Genomic DNA, 23,643 nt, shown 5'->3' on the forward strand with positions numbered 1-23,643 from the left:
ATAAATGTCCACTATTTATTTATTTATTTTTTGAGATGGGGTGTCTGTCACCCAGGCTGGAGGGCAGTGGTGTGATCTCAACTCACTGCAACCTCCACTTCCCAGTCTCAAGTGATCCTCCCACCTTAGCCTCCCGAGTAGCTGGGGCTACAGGCCTGTACCACCATGCCTGACTAATTTTTTGTAGAGGCGGGGTTTCACCATGTTGCTCAGGCTGTCTTCAACTCCTGGATTCAAGGGATCTCCCCCCAACCCCTGAGATGGCATCTTGTTCTGTCACCCAGGCTGGAGTGCAGTGGCACCATCTCAGCTCCCTGCAACCTCCGCCTCCCAGGTTCAAGTGACTTTCCTGCCTCAGCCTCCCAAGGAGCCGAGATAACAGGCATGCAGCATCATGCCTGGCTAATTTTTGTATTTTTATTAGAGACGAGCTTTCACCTTGTTAGCCAGGCTGGTCTTAAACTCCTGACCTCAAGTGATCTGCCTGCCTCGACCTGCCAAAGTGCTGGGATTACAGGCCTGGACTCAAGGGATCTGCCCATCTCAGCCTCCAAAAGTGCTGGGATTCCTGGCGTCAGCCGCTGGGCCTGGCCTATTATTTCTTATGAGTCTTTGGGTGGTTGCATGGCCCTTCTGTTGGTCTCACCTGGGTTTGCTCATGAAGCTGCACGTGGCTGAAGGCTCAGCCGGGACAGCCAGGTGGCTAAGTCTCTCTCATTCTGTGGGTTTTCTTTCAGAGTTTCTTCTGGTGTGGTGGTCTTGGGGCAGAGTTCCAAAAGAGTGAAAATGGAAGCTGCAAAGTTTTTCAAGGTATAAGCTCTAGACGTGTGCAGCGTCTCTTCTGCCCCACTATGTGGTTAATGTAGGTCCCAAGAAGCTCCACGTGGGTTTAAATCATGTTGGTCTTTTCAGGGCTGTATCCTCAGTATCTAGAATAGAGCCTGGTACATAGAATATTTATTGATGCAACTGAGATTATCATAGTGTATTTTTCTGTGAGCACAGCAGCTTATTCACAGCAGCAGTTTCCTAAATGGTGGCTATTTTATTATAGCTTTCCTAGGGGAGACACATAATGTAAATTTTCTGTTATTTCTTTTCTTTTTTTTTTTTTTGAGACAGAGTCTCGCTTAGTCCCCCAGGCTGGAGTGCAGTGGTGCGATCTCAGCTCACTGCAACCTCCGCCTCCCAGGTTCCAGTGATTCTCCTGCCTCAGCCTCCCGAGTAGCTGGGACTGCAGGCACCGGCCACCACACCCAGCTAATTTTTGTATTTTTAGTAAAGATGAGGGTTTCACTATGTTGACCAGGCTGGTCTCCAACTCCTGACCTCAAGTAATCCACCCGCCTCAGCCTCCGAAAATGCTGGGGTTACAGGTGTGAGCCACTGCGCCCGGCCTCAGTTATCTGCTATTTCTAGGAATACTTTAGGTTGGCACAGAATGAACACTGATCTTAACTGCTTTCCCCAACCTTCCCCCAATTCGCTGTTATCTGATACTCAGTAAACTGCCAGAGATGCATTACCAAAATAATATGGAGGTGGTCAAAATCATCATGAAGAATGTAGACATGGAATCTGTTTGCCTGCGTTCAAATCCCGGCCCCACCTCTTACTCGCTGTGAGACCTTGGATGAGTCATTTAAACGCTCTATGCTTTTGTTTCCTCATCTGTAAAATAGGCTTAATAATTGTACGTATTTCCTGAGATTGATAAAAATTAAATGGGTTAATATTTGTCAAGTGCTAACAAGAGAGGTTGGCATGCAGTCACTGTTATGTAAGAGTTAACTATCATTATAAGTAACGCACAGGCCCTGACTTTGAGTTTCCAATGAGTCACTTTCTTCAGATACCACAAAAACTTTTGGGAGATATTGTTCTCTGCCTCATCTGACAGTCTTCTGGGAATTAGGAAGCCATCAAGATGAACTCTGAGCAAGAGTGAAAGCAGTTCATGACTGGATAGCTTTAATTCACCTGCTTCTAATTTCATCCATGGTGTATAGATTGTTAACTGTGGTTTTCTATCAATAGATATGAATTAGAATGCCTTTTATGGAGAAGTCAGCTTTACAGACTTAAATAGAAAAATAAGGCTGGATGTGGCGGCTCAGGCCTGTAATCCCAGCATTTTGGGAGGCCGAGGTGGGTGGATCATTTGAGGTCAGGAGTTCCAGACCAGTCTGACCAACATAGTGAAACACATCTCTACTAAAAACACAAAAATTAGCCAGGTGTGGTGGCACGTGCCTGTAATCCCAGCTACTTGGGAGGCTGAGGCAGGAGAATTGTTTGAACCTGGGAGACAGAGGTGGCAGTGAGCCAAGATCATGCCACTGCACTCCAGCCTGGGTGACAGAGCAAGACTCTGTCTCAAAAAAAAAAAAAAAAAAAAAAAAAGAAAGAAAGAAAGAAAAAGGAAAAATTATAGCAGGAGCTTTCCTTTATTGATTATTATTATTTCATTATGAAAAAATCTAACATACAAAAGGAGAGAAAATAGTATCATCATCTCCCTTGTCCATTATCTGGTTTCTACAATTATCAGCTCAAGTGGGCACAGTGGCTCATATCTGCAATCCCACTGCTTTGGTAGGTTGAGGCAGGAGGATAATTTGAGCCCAGGGGTTAAAGACCAGCCTGGGCAACATGGCAAGACCCTGTCTCTACAAAAAATTTAAAAATTATCTGGGTGGGCCAGGCACGGTGGCTCACGCCTGTAATCACAGCACTTTAGGAGGTCGAGACAGCTGGATTACTTGAGCTCAGGAGTTTGAGACCAGCCTGGGCAACATAGTAAAACCCCATCTCTACCAAAGATACAAAAATTAGCCAGGTGTGGTCGCACACGTCTGTGGTCCTAGCTACTTGGGAGGCTGAGGCAGGAGGATCACTTGAGCCTGGGAGGCAGAGGTTGCAGTGAGCCAAGATTGCGCCACTGCACTCCAACCTGGGTGCACACCATCCAAAAAAAAAAAAAAATCAGCTGGGCATGGTGGCACACACCTGTAGTCTCAGCTACTCAGGAGGCTGAAGCAGGATGGGGATCACTTGAGCCCAGAAGTTGGAAGCTGCAATGAGCTATGATCCCACCACTGCATTCCAGCCTGGGCAACAAAGCAAGATCCCGTCTCTAAAAGAAAAATAAAAACATAAAAAAGATATTGACAATTAGCAATTTAGGGGCAATCCTGCTTCATCTTTCCCTCCACTCTTGTTCCTGCTGCTTGGATTACTTTGATGCAAATCTCAGCTATCACACCACTCTGTGGATACTTCCGTGTGTATCTCTAAAAAATAAAGACTCGACTTTGGTCATAATCACAATTCTAATATCATACATTTTAAAAGTTAACAATGGCCGGGCGCGGTGGCTCAAGCCTGTAATCCCAGTGCTTTGGGAGCCCAAGGTCGGCGTCAGGAGCTGGATGTGGTGGTGTGTGCCTGTAATCCCAGCTACTCAGGAGGCGGAGGCAGGAGAATTGCTTGACCCGGGAGGCAGAGGTTGCAGTGAGCTGAGATTGTGCCACTGCACTCCAGCCTGGGCTACAGAGCAAGACTCTGTCTCAAAAAAAAAAAAAAAAAATTAACAATAATTCCTAATGTCATCAAATATGCAGGTACTTGATATATTCAAATTTCCCAGCTGAGAGCATTTCTTTGCTGAACTCTTTGTACCCTGTAACATTGGGACTCACTCCCTGACGTCCAGCGATTGGATGCTGTGTCAGAGAACACAAGGAACAGTAGAGCCTGTGTTTACCTTTATTTATCAATGCAATTTTTCAACAATTTATGAGAACAGTTGCCAGAAAATTATGCGGCACATAGACAGTGTTATAGTTAATCTACTGGCTAAGGGATGCCCAGGTAGCTGGTAAAACATTTCCAGGAGGGTGTTTCCAGAAGGGATTAGCATTTGAAACAATAGACTGAGTAAAGAAGAACCTTGCTCGCCAGCATGCATGGACATCACCCAATCCTTGAGGGTCTGAATTGAAGAAAAAGGCAGAGGGAGGATGAATTCTCTCTCTGTTTCAGCTGAGACATCCACCTTCTCCTGCCATTGGACATCTCGGGCCTTCTGACTTGGACCAGGACAGATGCTGTTGGCTCCCTTGGTCCTCAGGCTTTCAGATTCGTACTGGAACCGCATCACCAGCTTTCTCGGGCCTCCAGCTTGCAGATGGCAGATAGTGGGACTTCTCCGCCTCCATAATCCTATGAATCAATCCCTGTAATAAATCTCTTCCTGTTCATAACTATCTATCTATTTATCTGTCTATCTATCTATCTATCTACCTACCTACCTACCTATTATCTGTCTACCTATCGCTGATTTTTTTTTTTGAGATGGAGTCTCACTCTATTGCTCAGGCTGGAGTGCAGTGGTGTGATCTTGCCTCACTGCAACCTCTGCCTTCTGGGTTCAAGCGATTCTCCTGCCTCAGCCTCCCAAGTAGCTGGGACTACAGGCATGTGCCACCACGCCCAGCTAATTTTTGTATTTTTAGTAGACATGAGGTTTCACCATGTTGCCCAGGCTGTTTTCGAATTCCTGACCTCAGGTGATCCGCCCATCTCAGCCTCCCAAAGTGGTGGGATTACGGGCATTACCTATCATCTATTTATCTCTTTATTATCTATCTATCTATCTATCTATCTATCTATCTATCATCTGGTATCTATCACCTATCTCATCTATGATCTATCAATCTATTATCTATCATCTATCTATTAATCTATTATCTATCAATCTATCACCTATCAATCTATTTCTATTATTTATCTATTATAAATCAATCTATTGCTCTATCTGCCTATCATCTATTTATCATCTATCTACCTATCATCTATTTATGTACCTATCTACCTATCATCTATTTATCATCTATTATCTATCACTTATCTATCATCTATCAATCTACACTTGATTTTAGCCAAAAGGCCAAGAGGCGATCTATCTATCATCTATCAATCTATTATCTATCATCTATTAATATAATTATCTATCTATCTATCTATCTATCTATCTATCTATCTATCTATCCTACTGGTTCTATTTCCCTGGAGAACCCTGACTAACACAGGCGGTAAGTAAGTTGTAGTGGTAACTGGGTTTGAGTCTGCCTCCTCCACTCCTCAACCACTTGAATCTCTCTATGCCCTGCCTTAGCCACCTATGAAATGGGAATAATTACAGCAAGGCCAACTCTTCTTCTTTTTTGGAGACGGAGTCTCACTCTTTCACCCAGCCTGGAGTGCAGTGGTGCGATTTCAGCTCACTGCAACCTCCGCCTCCTGGGTTCAAGTAATTCTCCTGCCTCAGCCTCCGGAGTAGCCGGCTAATTTTTTTGTATTTTTAGTAGAGACGGGGTTTCACCTTGTTGCCCAGGCTGATTTCAAACTCCTGAGCTCAGGCTAACCGCCTGTCTTGGCCAAGTCTTCTTAATGTCTGTTCAGCATCTCTTCTCCCTGTCTTCCTTTTGTCACTGGAACCCCCCCATAGGATGCCCTAACACACAGATTTTGGTATGAGTGTGTTCGGCCCCATCTAACTGAGGATGCATCGGAGAGGTCAGATGTGCACATTCACTGTGAAGGGACAGCCTTGAACGTGGACCCACACAGGGGTGATTACTGGTGATGAAAACTCCCTTGAGTTTTACTGAGTTGCATTGCCAGAAGTGACATGATTGTCTAAAGTAGTGAACAAGTTTTGGTAATGTTCCAAACAAAAGAAAGTACAGGCTTCCTTTAATTTATACAGAAGTGACCTTTGTGGAAAATTCAATAATATTGTCTTAAGTCTGTTTTTTGTTGCTTATAACAGAAATAACATAATACATAAAACTTGGTAATTTATAAATAAAAGGAATTATTACTTTTTTAATTTTTAATTTATGTGGGTACATAGTAGGTACATATATGAGGAATTATTTCTTACAATTATGGAGGCTAAGTCCCAGGCTCGAGGGGCTGCATCTGATGAGTGCCTTCTTGCTGTTGGGGACTCTTTGCAGAGACCCAAAGAAGCACAGGGCATCCCATGAAGAGGGGCCTGAGCAGCTACCTGAGGTCTCTCTTCTTCTTCTTCTAAAGCCACAAGTCCCACTCTATGACAACTCATTAATCCATTTACCCATTAACTCATTAATCTATTAATTCATGAATGGATGAATCCATTCATGAGAGCTTTCATGACCCAATCACTTCTGTTTTTTGTTTTTCTGTTTTTTTTTTTTTTCTTTTTGAGACAGAGTCTTACTCTGTCACCCAGGCTGGAGTGTAGTGGCACGATCTCGGTTCACTGCAACCTCCGGCCTCCTTGGTTCAAGCAATTCTTCTGACTCAGCCTCCCCAGTAGCTGGGATTACAGGCATGCATCATCATACCTGGCTAATTTTTGTATTTTTAGTAGAGATGAGGGTTTCACCATGTTGGCCAGGCTGGTCTTGAACTGACCTCAGGTGATCTGCCCGCCTCGGCCTCCTAAAGTGCTGGGATTACAGGTATGAGCCACTGGGCCAAGCCCAATCACTTCTTAAAGGCTGAACCTCTCAGTACTGCCACATTGGGTATTAAGTTTCAACATGAATTTTCAAGGGGACAGTCAAACCATAGCAGATAGAAGTGTGCAAAAAAACGCAATCAGACCAGGTGCGATGGCTCACGTCTATAATCCCAGCACTTTGGGAGGCTGGTGGGTGGATAACCTGAGGTCATGAGTTCAAGACCAACCTGGACAACACGGCAAAACCCCGTCTCTACTAAAAATACAAAAACTAGCCAGGTGTGGTGGCGCCTGCCTGTAGTCCCAGCTACTCAGGAGGCAGAGGCGGGAGAATCACTTGAACCAGGAGGCGGAGTTTGCAGTTAGCTGAAATCATGCCACTGCCTGGGCGACACAGCGAGACTGTCACAAAAAACAAAGAAACAAACAAACAAATGCCTTTTTTAGGAATGAGGAAGACACAGAGAGTTCATACATGTGCCCAAGGCCACATTAAGCTCCTAACTGCTATAAACTAGCTGCCTAAATAGAAAGAATGTTCTAGAAGGACAGAGCAGAAAGGCTCAGAGTGGTTACCTCTGAAGAAGGGTGAAGGAAAGGGTACAAGGAGAAGGCTGGGTGTGGTGGATCATGCTCATAATCCTAGCACCTTGGGAGGCTGAGGCAGGCAGATCGCTTGAGGCCAGGAGTTTGAGACCATCCTGGGCAACACAGCAAGACTCTCTAAAAAATAAATAAATGCTAGCCAGGCGTGGTGGCGCATGCCTGTAATCCCAGCTACTCAGGAGGCTGAGTCAGGAGAATTGCTTGAACCCAGGAGGCGGAGGTTGCAGTGAGCCGAGATTGCACCATTGCACTCCCGCCTAGGCAACAAGAGCGAAACTCCGTCTCAAAAAATAAAAAATAAAAATAAATAAATAAATAAATACAACTTAAAAATAATATAGGTTAACTATAATACCTAATAAAGTTTGACATTTACCTACTGCTGACCCAGTAATTCCACTCTTGGATTAAGAGAAATGTGTGCCCATGTCCATAAAAATACTTGTTCCAGGCCAGGTGTGGTGGCTCATGCCTGTAATCCTAGCACTTTGGGAGGCTGAGGAGGGCGGATCACCTGAGGAAAAAAATTAGCTGGGCGTGGTGGTGCGCGCCTGTAGTCCCAGCTACTCAGGAGGCTGAGGTAAGAGAATCGCTTGAACCCAGGAGGTGGAGGTTGCAGTGAGCTGAGATCTTGCCATTGCACTCCAGCCTGGGCAACAGGGCAAGATTCCATCTCAAAAAAAAAGAAAAAAAAATTTGTTCCAGAATGTTCATAGAAGCTTGTTTCATAATAGTCCAAACTGGAAACAACCAAGTGCCCGACAACAAGAGGGTAAACAAATGATGGTATGGTCCCAAAATGGAATTCTACTCAACAACAGCCAGGAAAGAATTACTGGGGCATCCAGCGTGACTCAATCTGAAAAGCATTATTTGAGTGAAAGAAGCCAGATACATGAGTTCATGCCGGATGCAGTGGCTCACGCCTGTCATCCCAGCACTTTGGGAAGCTGAGGCAGGTGGATCATTTGAGGTCAGGGGTTTGAGACCAGCCTGGCCAACATGGTGAGACCATGTTCCTACAAAAAATAAAAAAATTAGCCAGGCGTGGTGGCGGACACCTGTAATCCCAGCTACTTGGGAGGCTGAGGCAGGAGAATCCCTTGAACAAGGGAGGCGGAGGTTGCAGTGAGCCAAGATCATGCCTCTGCACTCCAGCCTGGGTGACAGAGCGAGACTCTGTTTCAAAAAAGAAAAAAAAGAGTTCATTCTGTATGATTCCATTTATGTGGAGTCTAAGAATAGAGAAAACTAAGGGTGATAAAGGTCAGGATAGTGGTTATCTTGTTTTGGGAAGGGGCAAGAGGGAACTTTCTGGGGGATGGAAATGTTCTGTGTCCTAGGGGATGTTTGGCACTGTCTGGAGAGGTTTTTGATTGTCACAACTGGTGGTGGGGGTGCTACTGGCATTTAGTGGGTAGAGGCCAGAGATGCTGCTAAACTGAATCTTACAATGCACAGGATTACCCCAAAACAATTATCTGGCCGGAAATGTCAATCGGGCTGAGAGTGAGAAATTTTGGTATATGATTTAAATTGCTTAAACACGATCAAGGCATTTCTGCATCCTTGTGGGCATTTGCCATTACTACAGGCAATATTTGAGTGACGGAGACGGCTAGTTATCCTTAGGATATAGAGTTGTCATTGGAAAGCAGCCAGGGACAATATTTCCCAATCCCCTTTGCATCTGGGTACAGCCTGTGATTCATTCTGCAAATAGAATGTGAGCAAAAGCAATGTGTATTAGCTCTGCACAAAGCAGTTGAGAAACATGTGCGCCTTTTCCATTCTCCTTCCCCTGCCACCACTGGATGCAGACATCAACGATGAGGCCCCAGGGATGGAGGAAAGCTGTCAGTCAACTGGCAATGCAGCGCTAGAGGAGATAAACTTCTATTATGCAAGCCTCTGAAATGTGAGCGTTATTTGTTACAGTGGCTAGCGTTACTCTAATAGAGTATTCAACAAAAAAAATATAGTCTTTGAAGGGCAGGTCTCCCAAACTGATATATTAAGGGGCAGTTAATCTCACTTGTAAATTCTCTGAGAGCAGGGATCATGTGCTACACATTTTCTTAATCTTCGATAATGCTAAGTACCATGTTGAGCAAATGACATGTTTCTTTCTCTCTCCTTCCACCCCCGCCCCCAAAGTCCTATGACTTCCTGGGTTGGAAGAGAATGTAAGTGTTCTTTTGTAATCTTTCCAGGACACCATTAATGGAACCACAGAACACCAACTTTCACACTCTAATTCCATGTGTTTTGGAATAAGATTTACTTTGCCCCATGCTCCAGAGTTGGGTCCTGATTGGCTTACATCAATCAAAGTCTTTTCTTTACCCTGGCCTTCCCACTCTGTCACCCAGGTTGGAGTGGCACAATCTCGGCTCACTGCAACCTCTGCCTCCTAGGTTCAAGTGATTCTCCTGCTTCAGCCTCCTGAGTAGCTGGGATTACAGGCACATGCCACCACGCCAGGCTAATTTTTTGTATTTTTTTAGTAGAGACAGGCTTTCACCATGTTGGTCAGGCTGGTCTCAAACTCCTGACCTCAGTTGATCCGCCCGCCTTGGCCTCCCAAAGTGCTGGGACTATAGGCGTGAGCCACCACGCCCGGCCTCCCTGGTCTTCTTGTTAGGGTTCGCAGATGAACACATCACTGAGTGAGAGGCAATGAGATCCAAGGTTTTATCTGGGACTCCGGAAGGGAAGCAGTTTCTTCCCTTTCAAGAGAAAGCCCTGAGCATATGCTTTTCTCCTGTGTGGTGGTGTCGGTTTGGGAGGCTTCAGTTACTACAGTAACTTTGCCACCAAGAGAGCAACTCTTTCAAGTTGTCAAGGATCCATAGGTATAGATAGTTCTCAGGGGCTCAAATATTGTCAGAACCTAAATTCTTTCTCTGCCTCTCTTAGTGTGTTAGATATTCTCACTCGTGATGCCACGATAATGCCCACAATTTCAGACATTCAAGTCATAACAACACGTTTCTGTTAATGAGAAAAACCTTTCCCAGCGTGCAGCGGAGTTTTTTTCTTGTCTTATTGGCTAGAGGGCATCACGTGATAAGCCTAAACCAACCACTGACAAGTGGTCTGGATCACCGTGATTGGTTCATATGTATTCCTCAGGCTGGGGTTGGGACTGGGATCCATCTCCCTGGAAGCACATGGCCAGCAGGAGAGGGGTGGACATCTGGTCCCAACCAGAATTCTCATTTAAAAAGGAAGAAAAGTTTTTGAGTAGGCCAACAATAATGTCTGCTATGTATCCTGCCATTTGTGGTGGTATATTTATCAGTCAATTGCAAGTAACAAAAAACCAAAAAGAAAAAAGATGTTAGGGAGAAATGTATTGGCTGGCACAACTCAAAAGTTCAGAGTTTCCCAGCTTCAGGCATGGCTGGATCTGAGCAACAAGGTCATAATTATTTGGTCTCTGTTTTTATTGCTCATCTCCGCTTTATTCTCAGGCAGAATCTTACCGAGTGGTGGCTCCAGCAACTACAGACTTACTTCCTACCAAGTTAGCAATTCCAGAGGAATCTTTTAGGCAACTGTTGCAACAAAAGTTTAAGAACTGAGCCTCAAAGACTTGGCTTGGATCACAACCCCATTCTTGAACCAATCACTGTACCCAGAAGGAATGAAAAATTCTAACTGGTCAAACCATTTCTTTTTTTTTTTTTTTTTTTTTTTTTTGAGATAGGTCTTTTGCTCTGTTGCCCAGGCTGGAATACATAGCTCACTGTGGCCTCAAACTCTGGGTTCAAGTGATCCTCCCACCTCAGCTTCCCAAGTAGCTGAGATTAGTGGTGTGCACCACCACGTCTAACTAATTTTTTAAATTTTTTGTAGAAACAGGGCCTTTCTATGTTGGAAGAGGGTCAGGCGGGCGACTTGAGAAATCAAGCGCTCTGTTTTACCTGTGATTTGTGTTTCATATGCTGACATACTTCCGGGGTCTTGAGTTCCTTCTCCCGTGATTTTTCACTGGGGATGGGCTGTCTGCACGTGCAATGTGTTTATTGGAGTTGTGTACGTGCTCACTTGAGGCATTCTTCCCTTACCAGTTGAATGTCCCTAGACGGTCATCAGTTAAACTTTGCCATTTTGCCTCTTAATTCCCATGCTTGAGCCCATTTACCCAGTCCTGAGATCTTACTGGGAAGCTGCTGATCACCAGTTTCAGGTTGTTGTTTTTTTTCTGCTTATTGGGAGACTGCCTTTCCCTGGAGTCGGCTGAGACCAATCATTATTTTAGAGAGATAGTTAACAACCGCCTGAGCATCACCTGATGGTCACCTCTGGTCACCTGACATTCCTGGTGTGTGTGTGTTGTGGGGGAACTCTCTCTTGCTCTGTTCATGTCTGACTAGCTACCTACTGTAACAGCTGCACCACTGCATTCCAGCCTGGGTGACAGAGCGAGACGCTGTCTCAAAAAAAAAAAAAGGTGATTTGTGGCGATGGCAAAAATCTCAAAGGCGTTACATGAGTCACTGAAATTTGGGGAACTCTGATAGACCCAGGTTCTATCCTGGACTTTATTTGGCTGAACCAAACTGAACAAAAATTCCCTTGCATGAAAACTGGTGCTGGAGGAATATTTTCTTTGATTGATTGATTGAGGCAGGGTCTCACTGTCACCCAGGCTGGCATTGAGTGATGGAATCACGGCTCACTGCAGCCTCAACTTCCCGGCCTCAGGTGATCCTCCTGCCTCAGCCTCTCAAGTAGCTGGGACCATGGGCGCACACCCAGCTACCCAGCTAATTGATTTTTGTGGGGTTTTTTTTTTTTTTTTGAGATGGAGTCTCACTCTGTCACCCAGGCTAGAGTGCAATGGCTCGGTCTCGGCTCACTGCAACCTCCGCCTCCCAAGTTCAAGCAATTCTCCTGCCTCAGCCTCCCAAATAGCTGGGACTACAGGCACGTGCCACCACACCCAGCTAATGTTTGTATTTTTAGTAGAGATGGGGTTTCACTATGTTGGCCAGGCTGGTCTCAAACTCCTGACCTTGTGATCTGCCCACCTCAGCCTCCCAAAGTGCTGGGATTACAGGTGTGAGCCACTGCGTCTGGCCTATTTTTGTGCATTTTTTGTAGAGCCAGGATTTTGCCATGTTGCCCAGGCTGGTCTTGAACTTCTGGGCTCAAATGATCCTCCCGCCTTGGCCTCCCAAAGTGCTGGGGTTACAGGTATGAGCCACCATGTCCAGCTTGAGGAAATCTTTCCAAGGACTGCTGCCTTCAGGTGGAGCTTCAAGGTTCAAACGGTCTTTATTCATAGCCTTTTTAAATTTGGTGGGGGCTACATTTTTCAAATATATTTTCAAAGGCCTTCATTTGGGGAGAGGCCTTAAATGTGCCAACTGCCAGCTGCAAGAACCAAGTGGCCAGAACATCGAGGTTTTGAAGTCTCGCAAAACAGATGTGTAAAAGTCAACTGCACAGGCAGGACCTTAGAGTGGCACCCGGAACCCAAGGCCTTGAAAGATCCCAGCTTGTTTCTTTACAGAAAGCTTGGCTTTGTTGACCAGGCTGATAGAAACCGCGCCCAGCTGTAGAAAGGTTGCGTGTGTATATATGTGCGTGTTTCTGCTTCCTCTTTTTTTATCTCATACGATTACAAACACATAATCTCAAGGGTCTGCAGCACATGTCACCTTGGAGTTATTTTAGATTTACCCCCGGAACATCAAACGTTCATTCCAGAAGGGTTTGACAGGGCATAGAGAGTGCCGACTAAACCCAGAGGGGGCAAGTTCAAGCATGTTTTTCGCTACCCCAATTTGCATCAGTGCCTCCCCACCCCCCCAAAACACATGCCTCTTTTGCATTACTCAGTGAAAAGTGAAAACTGATAAAGAAAAGGCATGTTTTGTTAATTAAAAACATCTTTATTTAATAGCATGGCTGCTAAATCTGGTAAATAGCAGCATGCTGCTAGATCTGAATAATGGGGTCGTTTTTTTCTTTGACACAGGGTCTCACTCTGTCACTCAAACTGGAGTGCAGTGGTGCAGTCATGGCTCACTGCAGCCTGGAACTCCTGGGCTCAAGTGATCCTCCTGCCTCAGCCTCCTGAGTAGCTGAGACTACAGGCACGTGCAAGCATGCCCAGGTAATGGGGTCATTTTTGTTTCTTTTTCTTTCTTCTTATTTCAACCCTATTATCTGACCTTTTTTTTTCCCTTGCAAATATTCTTGTTCTGTCTCCTATGTCTGGAGATGGAAGATAAGGAAACCCATACTAGTCCTTTTGGGTTGCTCTGATCAAATAACAGAGCAACAGACAGAGAAAACAACAGAGGGAGGGAGGGCTTTCCCTCTTTCCCCCTCCCTCCCTCCCTCCCTCCCTCCCTTCCTTCCTTCCTTCCTTCCTTCCTTCCTTTTTTTCCTTCTTTTCTTTCTTTTCTTTCTTTTTTTAAGACGGAGTCTCGCTCTGTCGCCAGGCTGGAGTGCAGTGGCGTGATCTCAGCTCACTGCAACCTCCGCCCCTGCCCCAGGGTTCAAGTGATTCTCCTGCCTCAGCCTCCCAAGCAGCTGGGACTACAGGCGTGCGCCACCATGCCCAGCTAATTTTTGTATTTTTGTATTTTTTGTATATTTTGTATTTTGTAGAGACGGGGTTTCACCACGTTGGCCAGGATGGTCTTGATCTCTACCTCGTGATCTGCCCGCCTCGGCCTCCCAAAGTGCTGGGATTATAGGCATGAGCCACCATGCCCGGTCTTCTTTTCTTTCTTTCTCAATTTTATTAAGTGCATCCTATGGTACTATGCTGGGCATAATGGAAACCAAAACAGAAATAATGTCTACTCAGATGGAGTTTAATTTCTGGACAGGAGTAACAAACTGAAATGCATAACAGGAACCTAAGATGCACTGAATAGAGCTGGCTTGAGAAAGATAACCTGTAATCTTCACTGGCCTCAGTGTCTGGAAGGCATCAGGGAATAGTGGGTACCGTGGTAAACTGGAGAGCCCATGCTCCTTTCCAGATCCTCAGATCAGCCATCAGGAAAGTAGACCCTCTTTTCCCATACTTTTATATACATATTTCAAAAGAAGCCAGAAATTGACAGAAATTCAGATCTTTATGTGAAATCTACCAGTATTCAAATACTGACAACTCATTCAGATTATTTAAAATGCTTGTATGGGCCGGGCGCAGTGGCTAACGCTTATAATCCCAGCACTTTGGGAGGCCGAGGTGGGCGGATCACAAGGTCAGGAGATCAAGACCATCCTGGCTAACACGGTGAAACCCCGTCTCCACTAAAAATACAAAAAATTAGCCGGGTATGGTAGCAGGTGCCTGTAGTCCCAGCTACCCGGGGAGGCTGAGGCAGGAGAATCGCTTGAACCCGGGAGGTGGAGCTTGTAGTGCAGTGAGCTGAGATCGCGCCACTGCACTCCAGCCTGGACAACAGAGCGAGACTCCATTTCAGACAGACAAACAAACAAAACGCATGTATGGGCCAGGTGTGGTGGCTCACGCCTGTAATCCCAGCACTTTGGGAGGCCAAGGCAGGTAGATCATGAGGTCAGGAGATCGAGACCATCCTGGCTAACATGGTGAAACCCCATCTCTACTAAAAATACAAAAAATTAGCCTGGCATGGTGGCAGGCACCTGTAGTCCCAGCTACTAGGGACGCTGAGGCAGGAGAATGGTGTGAACCCAGGAGGCAGAGCTTGCAGTGAGCCAAGATCATGTCACTGCATTCCAGCCTGGGCGACAGAGCGAGACTCCGTCTCAAAAAAGAAAAAACAACAACCACCTTAGGTTCTATAGGTGATGTTATCTATAGAAGCAATTGGGAAAGTTACAAATCTTGTGACCTCTGGCCACATGACTCCCGAGCAGTAAAGGATTATAGAAACTGTGCCTATTTTATCAGAATTCAGTCCCCTCTCATCCTGCTAACCTTGTGGCCTTTCATTAGTTTTACAAAGCTGGTTTGGTTTTGGGGAGGGCTATTATTATCTTTGCTTTAAGATAAAACCATAAACTAAATTCCTCCCAAAGTTAGCTTGGCCTATGCCCAGGAATGACCAAGGAGTTTGGAGGTCAGAAGCAAGATGGAGTCAACTATGTAAAATTTATCTTACTGTCATAATTTGGCAGAGGCAGTTTCAAGGTCAGCAGTGAATGGTAGCCGCAGTGTGCTATCATTGCACCTGTGAAAAGCCACTGTAATCCAGCCTGGACAACATAGCAAGGCCCTGTCTTTTAAAAAATCTATTTTAAAAAAGGCTGGGCAAGGTGGCTCATGCCTGTAATCCCAACACTTTGGGAGCCTGAGGTGGGCAGATCACCTGAGGTCAGGAGTTCCAGACCAGCCTGGCCAACATGGCGAAACCCTGTCTTTGCCAAAAATACAAAAATTAGCTGGACATGATGGCGCATGCCTGTAATCCCATCTACTCAGGAGGCTGAGGCAGGAGAACTGCTTGAACCCAGGAGGCAGAGGTTGCAGTGAGCTGAGATTGCACCACTGCATTCCAGCCTGGGCGACAAAGGGGGACTCCATCTCAAAAAAAAAAAAAGTGTATAATCAGGCATCCAACTCAACCCGATTGACTAGGACTTTCCTGATTTTAACACTGCAAACCTGGAAAGTCCTGGACAAACCAGAAGGAGCCGGTCATCCTACTTATATGGTACTCAGCATTTGCCAGGCATGAAGTCCGTGATCAGGGACTGCTAACAGGCGGCGGGCCAACTCACAGGCCAAATCCAGCCCCACCACTAGTTTTCTTTTTTTTTTGAATTGAAAAAATTTTGGACCAAGCATGGTGGCTTACACCTGTAATCCCCACACTTGGGAGGCTGAGATGGGAGGATTGCTTGAGGCTGGGAGTTTGAGACCAGCCTGGGCAACTCAGGGAGATCCTATCTCTACAAATTAAAATGAGAAGTAAATAATTTTGATAATTGCAGATTCACACGCACTTGTAAAAAATAATACAGAGATCTCTTTTACATTTTGTCCATTTTCCTCCAACTATGCAAAAGCATAGTATAATATCACATTCGGGATGTTGATATTCATATGACCCACCAATCTTATTCAGATTTCTCTTATTTGTAGAGATGGGGTTTTGCCATGTTGGCTAGGCTGGTCTTGAACTCCTGGCCTCAGGTGATCTGCCCATCTCAGCCTCCCAAAGTGCTGGGATTACAGGCATGAGCCACCTCACCGGACCAGATTTCCCTTTTTAGCTGTACTCATTTGTGTGTGTATTAAGTTCTATAAAATTTTATCACGTCTTGTGTGTCCACCACCGCAGTCCAGATACTGAACAGTTTCAAGACCACAGGGACCCTCATTGTGCCTTTGTATAACCTCACCCACACCTCTGTCCCACAGACTGCACTCCCAGCCCTCATCCTTAACCCCCTGGCAACTGCTAATCTGTCCTCCAGTTCTAAAATGTCATTTCAAAAATGTTACAAGCTGGATGTGGTGGCTTACGCCTGTAATCCCAGCACTTTGGGAGGCCGAGGTGGGCGGATCACCTGAGGTCAGGAGTTTGAGACCAGCCTGGTCAACATGGTGAAACCCCGTCTCTACTGAAATTAGCCGGGTGTGGTGGCAGGTACCTGCAATCCCAGCTACTCGGGAGGCTGATGCAGGAGAATCACTTGAACCTGGGAGGCAGAAGTTGCAGTGGGCTGAGATCACACCACTGCACTCCAGCCTGGGCAACAGAGCAAGACTCTGTGCCCCTGCCCCCCTGCTCCCCACACAAAAAGTTACACAACTGGAACCATACCCAATCCCCATACAGTATGTAATTTTAGGGGATTTTATTTCCCCCTCAGCATAATTTTCTGGAGATTCTTTCTAACCGTCGCACGAACCAACAATTCATTTCTCTTTATTGCTGAGTAGTATTCCATGATACAGATGTACCAGTTTAACTATTTACTTGTTGAAGCATATCTGGGCTGATACCAGTCTTTGGTTCTGCCTCCTGTTTTTATATAAAGTTGTATTGGAACACAGCCATGCCCATTTATTTACATTTTGTCTATGACTGCTCCTTAGAGTTGAATAGTTTCATCACAGACCATAGAGCCCACAGCCTAAAATATTTACTCTCCAGCCCTTTGTAGAAAAAGTTTGCCAACCCTTATTCCAAGCACCTAACATTTATTAATCTTAATTTTCACAATATCCCTATATAATTGTTATCTTCGTTTCGCAAAGGGAGAAACTGAAGCATAAAGAAAGTAAGTAATTTGCTCATAGTCACACAGCCGAGCTAGGTTTTGAACTCAGCAATATGGCTCTAGGGGCTGCCTCTTAACCAGTCCTCCTCAAAAGATAATCTTACTTCTCAGTTCAAGACAGAGGAACTCGGCTGGGCGCAGTGGCTCACACCTGTAATCCCAACACTTTGGGAGGCCAAGGTGGGCAGATCACCTAAAGTCAAGAGTTCCAGACCAGCCTGGCCAACATAGTGAAACTCTGTCTCTACTAAAAATACGAAAATTAGCTGGGCTTGGTGGCAGGCTCCTGTAATCCCAGCTACTCGGGAGGCTGAGGCAGGAGAATCGCTTGAACCTGGGAGGCAGAGGTTGCAGTGAGCTGAGATCACACCATTGCACTCCAGCCTGGGCGACAAGAGTGAGACTCTGTCTCAAAAAAAAAAAAAACAAAAAACCACACACACACACACACAAACAGAGGAACTGAAAACTGAGATAAGCACACAAGAGAGCTAGCAGCTGAACAACAGGGCTTCTCTTTGAGGGCTAGAAGGAACGGTAGGATTTAACTTGTGATCATTTGCTTTGTTACCTGAATAATGCTTGGAACAGAGCTAAAATTTCTCATTCATTTGAATTAATTTGATATAGGGCTTTTTAAATTTTACCAGGATTTTACAAAGGTTCAGGACCCAAGTGTCTCTGGTCCCCTGACTTTCTTCCTTTCTTTCTTTTTCAGACAGAGTTTCGCTCTTGTCACCCAGGCTGGAGTTCAGTGACACGATCTCGGCTCACTGCAACCTCCGCCCCCCGGGTTCAAGCCATTCTCCTGCCTCAGCCTTCCGAGTAGCTGGGATTACAGGCGCCCACCACCGTGCCCGGCTAATTTTTGTATTTTTAGTAGAGATGGGGTTTCACCATCTTGGCCAGGCTGGTCTTGAACTCCTGACCTCATGATCCACCCACTTCAGCCTCCCAAAGTGCTGGGATTACAGGCTTGAGCCACCACATCTGGTCAGTCCCCTGACTTTCACAGCCACATTTGTAACTGGAAAATTAGCACAGTCATTGTTATCTTTTGCTTGTATCCCAGGGGTTTTTCAGGTAAGTACAGACCTGAACCTAGAGAAACTTCCCTAGGCCAGCATGAGGCTAAATGGTGGCTTTTAATGGAAATACTTTTCTTTCTTCTTCTTTTTTTTTTTTTTGAGAGGGAGTCTTGCACTGTCGCCCAGGCTGGAGTGCAGTGGCATGATCTTGGCTCACTGCAAGCTCTGCCTCCCAGGTTCACGCCATTCTCCTGCCTCAGCCTCCCGAGTAGCTGGGACTACAGGTGCCCGCCACCATGCCCGACTAATTTTTTGTATTTTTAGTAGAGACGGGGTTTCACCGTGTTAGCCAGGATGGTCTTGATCTCCTGACCTTGTGATCCGCCCACCTCGCCCTCCCAAAGTGCTGAGATTACAGGCGTGAGCCACCGCATCTGGCCGCCTTTCTTCATTTTTGTGGGGAGACTTATGCCCAGCTGAGAGAATTTGGGTCTCCCTTTAGGGTGACCAACTATCATGATTTTCCTGGGATTGAGGGGGTTTCTGGATTGTAGGACTTGCAGTGCTAAAACCTCTGCCTCCTGGGCCCAAGTGATTCTCCTGCCTCAGCCTCCCAAGTAGCTGGGATTACAGGCACATGCCACCACGCCCGGCTAATTTTGTATTTTTAGTAAAGACGGGGTTTCACCATGTTGGTCAGGCTGGTCTCAAACTCCTGACCTCAGGTGATCCACCCACCTTGGCCTCCCAAAGTGCTGGGATTACAGGTGTGAGCCACCACATCCAGCTTGTAACATTTTTGAAATGACAACATTTTAGAACTGAAGGACAGATTAGCGGTTGCCAGGGGGTTAAGGATGAGGGCTGGGAGTGCAGTCTGTGGGAGAGAGGTATGGTGGCTCATGGCTGTAATCCCAGAACTTTGGGATTACAGGTGGGTGGATCACCTGAGGTCAGGAGTTCGAGACCAGCCTGGCCAAAATGGTGAAACCCCGTCTCTACTAAAAATACAAAAATTAGCCAGGCGGGTGTGGTGGTGCACACTTGTAATCCCAGTACTTTGGGAGGCTGAGGTGGGTAGATCACTTGAGGTCAGGAGTTCGAGACCAGCCTGGCCATCATGGTGAAACCCCATGTCTATTAAAAATACAAAAATTAGCCAGGCTTGATGGCGCATTTCAGTAATCCCAGCTATTTGAGAGGCTGAAGCAGGAGAATCGCTTGAACCCAGGAGGCAGAGGTTGCAGCGAACTGAGATCACTCCACTGCACCCCAGCCTGGGTGACAGAGTGATACTCTGTCTCAAAAAAAATAAATAAAATTAGCTGGGTGTCATGGCACATGCCTGTAATCCCAGCTACTCACTAGGCTGAGGCAAGAGAATCAGCTGAACTCAGGAGGCAGAGGTTGCAGTGAGCTGAGATCACACCACTGCACTCTAGCCTGGGCAACAGAGTGAGACTCTGTTGGGCAAACGGAGAGAAATCAGTCACCCTAGTCCAACTAGTCCCTGACCCAGACTTGGAAGGAGAGGGTAGATTTCAAAAGACAAAGATATATTCATTCATTTTTTGAGATAAGGTCTCACTCTGTTACCCAGACAAGAGTGCAGTGGTGCAATCATAGCTCACCGCAGCCTTGAACTTCTCAAGGGATACTCTTGCCTCAGTCTCCCAAGTAGTCAGGATTCAGGTGTGCACCACCCCACCCAGCCACAAAACAAAGACCAAAAAAAGCAACATTTCAGCCCTGGGTAGTGGCTCATGCCTGTAATCCAGTGCTTTGGAAGGCCAAGGTGGGTGGGTCGCCTGAGGTCAGGAGTTCAAGACCAGCCTGGCCAACATGGCGAAACCTTGTCTCTACCAAAAAATAGATAAAAATTAGCCAGGTGTGGTGGTACTTGCCTGTAATCCCAGCTACTCGGGAGATTGCGGCAGGAGAATTGCTTGAACCAGAGAGGCAGAGGCTGCAGTGAGCCAAGATTGCGCCGCTGTACTCCAGCCTGAGAGAGAGCATGAGACTCCATCTCAAAAAAAAAAAAAAAAAAAAAAGAAAGTAAAGGAATGAAAGAATGGCTACTTCATAGGCACAGCAGTAGCATGGGCTGCTGATTGGCTATTTTTATGGTTATTTCTTTCTCCAGCCTGGGCGACAGATCAACACTCTGTCTCAAAAAGGAAAAAAAGAAAAAAAAAGTTACCTTGCCACATATTGAAATGGCCCCAGGAGCCTCCTCCTTTCTCCCCCTCCCCTCAACCCATTACGAAAAAAAAAAAAAACGGCCCTACAAAGGCTTCTTTTGTGGGGGAAAATTTGCATTGTAAAGAATTTCTATGAATATAACTAGATTTTTCATCTTCCAGGCTCTCCAAATCCTGGTGAGATTAACTGAGAATCTAGCATCCTGTAAAGGTCTAAATAGAAAACATTAAAAAAAAATTATAGAGATGGGGTCTCACTCTGTTGCCCTGGCTGGTCTTGAAGTCCTGGGCTCAAGTGATCCTCTTGCCTTGGCCTCCCGAAGTGCTAGGACTACAGGCATGAGTTACCATGCCCGCCCAACAAATAGGAAACATTTGTCCTCTATTGTCTCAAAGGGCAGCCACCTATGAGACTTCATCTACTTCATACAAACCTTGGTCTCCATAGCCCCTTATTGTAACCCAGACACTCCTTTCTTTTGATTCTAGATCTCTAGATAGTAACTTAACTTTCAGCCAATTGCCAATCAGAAAATCTTTGAAACCACTTGTTACCTGTAAATACCCTCGCTTACTTTGAGTTGGTCCACCTTTCTGGACTGAACCGATACACCTCACATGTATTCATTGATATCTTATGTCCTCCTAAAATGTATAAAACCAACCTCAAAGGGCGGGTGCGGTGGTTTATGCCTGTAATCCCAGTACTCTGGGAGGCGGAGGTAGACAGATCACCTGAGGTCAGGAGTTTGAGACCAGCCTGGCCAACATGGTGAAACCCTGTCTCTACAAAAAATAAAAAATTAGGCCAGGCGCAGTGGCTCACACCTGTAATACCAGCACTTTGGGAGGCCAAGGTGGGTGGATTGCCTGAGGTCAGGAGTTTGAGACCAGCCTGACCAATATTGTGAAATCCTGTCTCTACTAAAAATACAAAACTTAGCCGGGCATGGTGGCGTGCACGTGTAGTCCCAGCTACTCGGGAGGCTAAGGCAGAAGAATTGCTTGAACCCAGGAGGCAGAGGTTACAATGAGCCGAGATCGCACCACTGCACTCCAGCCTGGATGACAGAGGGACACTCTGTCTCAAAATAAAAAAATAAAATAATAATAAAATTAATTAATTAAAAAATTAGCTGGGTGTGGTAGTGCACACCTGCAGTCTCAGCTACTCCAGAGGCTGAGACGGGAGGATTGCTTGAGCCCGGGAGGTGGAGGTTGCAGTGAGCTGAGATTATGCTACTGCTCTCCAGCCTGGATGACAGAGCAAGACCCTGCCCCCCACCCATCCCCCCAAAAAAAGTCTTCTGCTAGCCATCATCACTCATATTTGGCTCAGAATAAACCTCTTTAAATATTTTGCAGTTCAGCTTTTTCAACACCTCCAATTTGAACTTGTCTGATTGTATCCACAGGTTTAGATTCAGGTTGAATATTTTTGGCAAAAATACTATAAAAGTGATATTGTGTGTGTCCTTCTTGGGGAATGATTTTTATTATACTACGTTTTAATAAATTTACTTTTAGCCGGGCATGGTGGCTCACGCCTGTATCCCAGCACTTTGGGAGGCCGAGGCAGGTGGATCACCTGAGGTCAGTTGTTCCAGACCAGCCTGGGCAACATGGTGAAACCCCATCTCTACTAAAAATACAAAAAATTAGCCAGGTGCGGTGGTCGGTGCCTGTAATACCAGCTACTTGGGAGGCTGAGGCAGGAGAATCGCTTGAACTGGGGAGGCAGAGGTTGCGGTGAGCTGAGATCACGCCATTGCACTGCAGCCTGGGCAGCAAGAGTGAAACTCCATCTCCAAAAAATATATATTTTTTATTTATTTACTTTTCATTTATTTAAGAGGGGTATAACATCACATGGAATCTTTGTCCAGTGGCCTTAGCAGGAAGATTGTTTCAGAATTTGGCATGAACTATGCCCATAATTCCATGGGTCTGAGTTACCTTTCCTCACATCACTCTGGTTTTGTTCAGTTTGCTGCCGGGAGTCACTGTCCTGTTCTTTGCTTTGTATGCATAAGCGCATCTCTTGCCCAAATAGGATTCAGTTTCATCTCAGGCATAAATGCCTTCAATGTTAAGAAGAGCTGTGTACTCCCTTTGGTTCAAGAGACCCTGCTTATAGCCAGCAAAAGTGGCCTTGGGTCCAGGCCCAGTGGTTCATGCTTGTAATCTCAGCACTTTGGGAGGCCTAGGCAGGAGGATCACCCGAGGCCAGTAATTCAAGACCAGGCTGGTCAACATAGTGAGACCGTGTCTCTACAATAAAAAGAAAATAAAGCCAAGTGCAGTGGCTCACGCCTGTAATCCCAGCACTTTGGGAGGCCGAGGCGGGTGTATCACCTGAGGTCAGGAGTTTGAGACCAGCCTGACCAACATAGTGAAACCCCGTCTCTACTAAAAATACAAAATTAGCTGGGTGTGGTGTCACATGTCTGTAATCCCAGCTACTCGGGAGGCTGAGGCAGGAGACTCACTTGAACACAGGAGGCGGAGGTTGCAGTAAGCCGAGATTGTGCCATTGCACTCCAGCCTGGGTGACAGAGTGAAAGTCCGTGTCAAAAAAAAAAAAAAAGAAAAAAAAGTAAAAGGAAAAAAGGAAAAATGGCCTTAGACCACAGCCTTCCAGACATATCTGCCTTTTAGAAGTCCTGTCCTGGTTGGGCAGGGTGTCTCATGTCAGTGATCCCAGCACTTTGATAGGCCAAGGCGAGAAGATCCCTTGAGCCTAGGATTTAGAGACCAGCCTGGGTCTCTAAATATAACATAAGGAGATCCCATCTCTACAAAACACTAAAAAAAGTTAGCTAGGTGTGGTGGCATGCACCTGTGTTCTCAGCTACTGAGGAGGCTGAGGTTAGAGGATCACTTGATCCTGGGATGCTCTAGGTTACAGTGAGCTATGATCGCACCACTGCACTCCAGCCCGTGCGATGGAGTGAGACCTTGTTTCAAAAGAAAAAAAAAAAAGGCCCTGTCAAGCAGACAGGCTCCAAGATGGTAGAAAGAGAAAGGCCTTAGGGAATGA

General features: G+C 45.9%; 1 pseudogene, besides 2 other annotated features; it reads right to left on the reverse strand.

Moving 5' to 3' along the window:
- Window positions 8,703–8,997: a silencer, noted in NCBI's record as "tiled region #10107; K562 Repressive non-DNase unmatched - State 6:EnhF". NCBI's record gives its function as "represses a minimal TATA promoter and a strong SV40 promoter by Sharpr-MPRA in K562 cells {active_cell/tissue: K562}" and the evidence as "EXISTENCE:reporter gene assay evidence [ECO:0000049][PMID:27701403]".
- Window positions 12,916–13,075: an enhancer, noted in NCBI's record as "active region_17996". NCBI's record gives its function as "activates an Ori minimal core promoter by ATAC-STARR-seq in GM12878 lymphoblastoid cells {active_cell/tissue: GM12878}" and the evidence as "EXISTENCE:reporter gene assay evidence [ECO:0000049][PMID:35858748]".
- On the reverse strand, window positions 22,452–23,248 carry RPL35AP (ribosomal protein L35a pseudogene; annotated as a pseudogene).

This window comes from Homo sapiens, chromosome 20, assembly GCF_000001405.40.
Source record: "Homo sapiens chromosome 20, GRCh38.p14 Primary Assembly".
Taxonomy (NCBI): domain Eukaryota; kingdom Metazoa; phylum Chordata; class Mammalia; order Primates; family Hominidae; genus Homo; species Homo sapiens.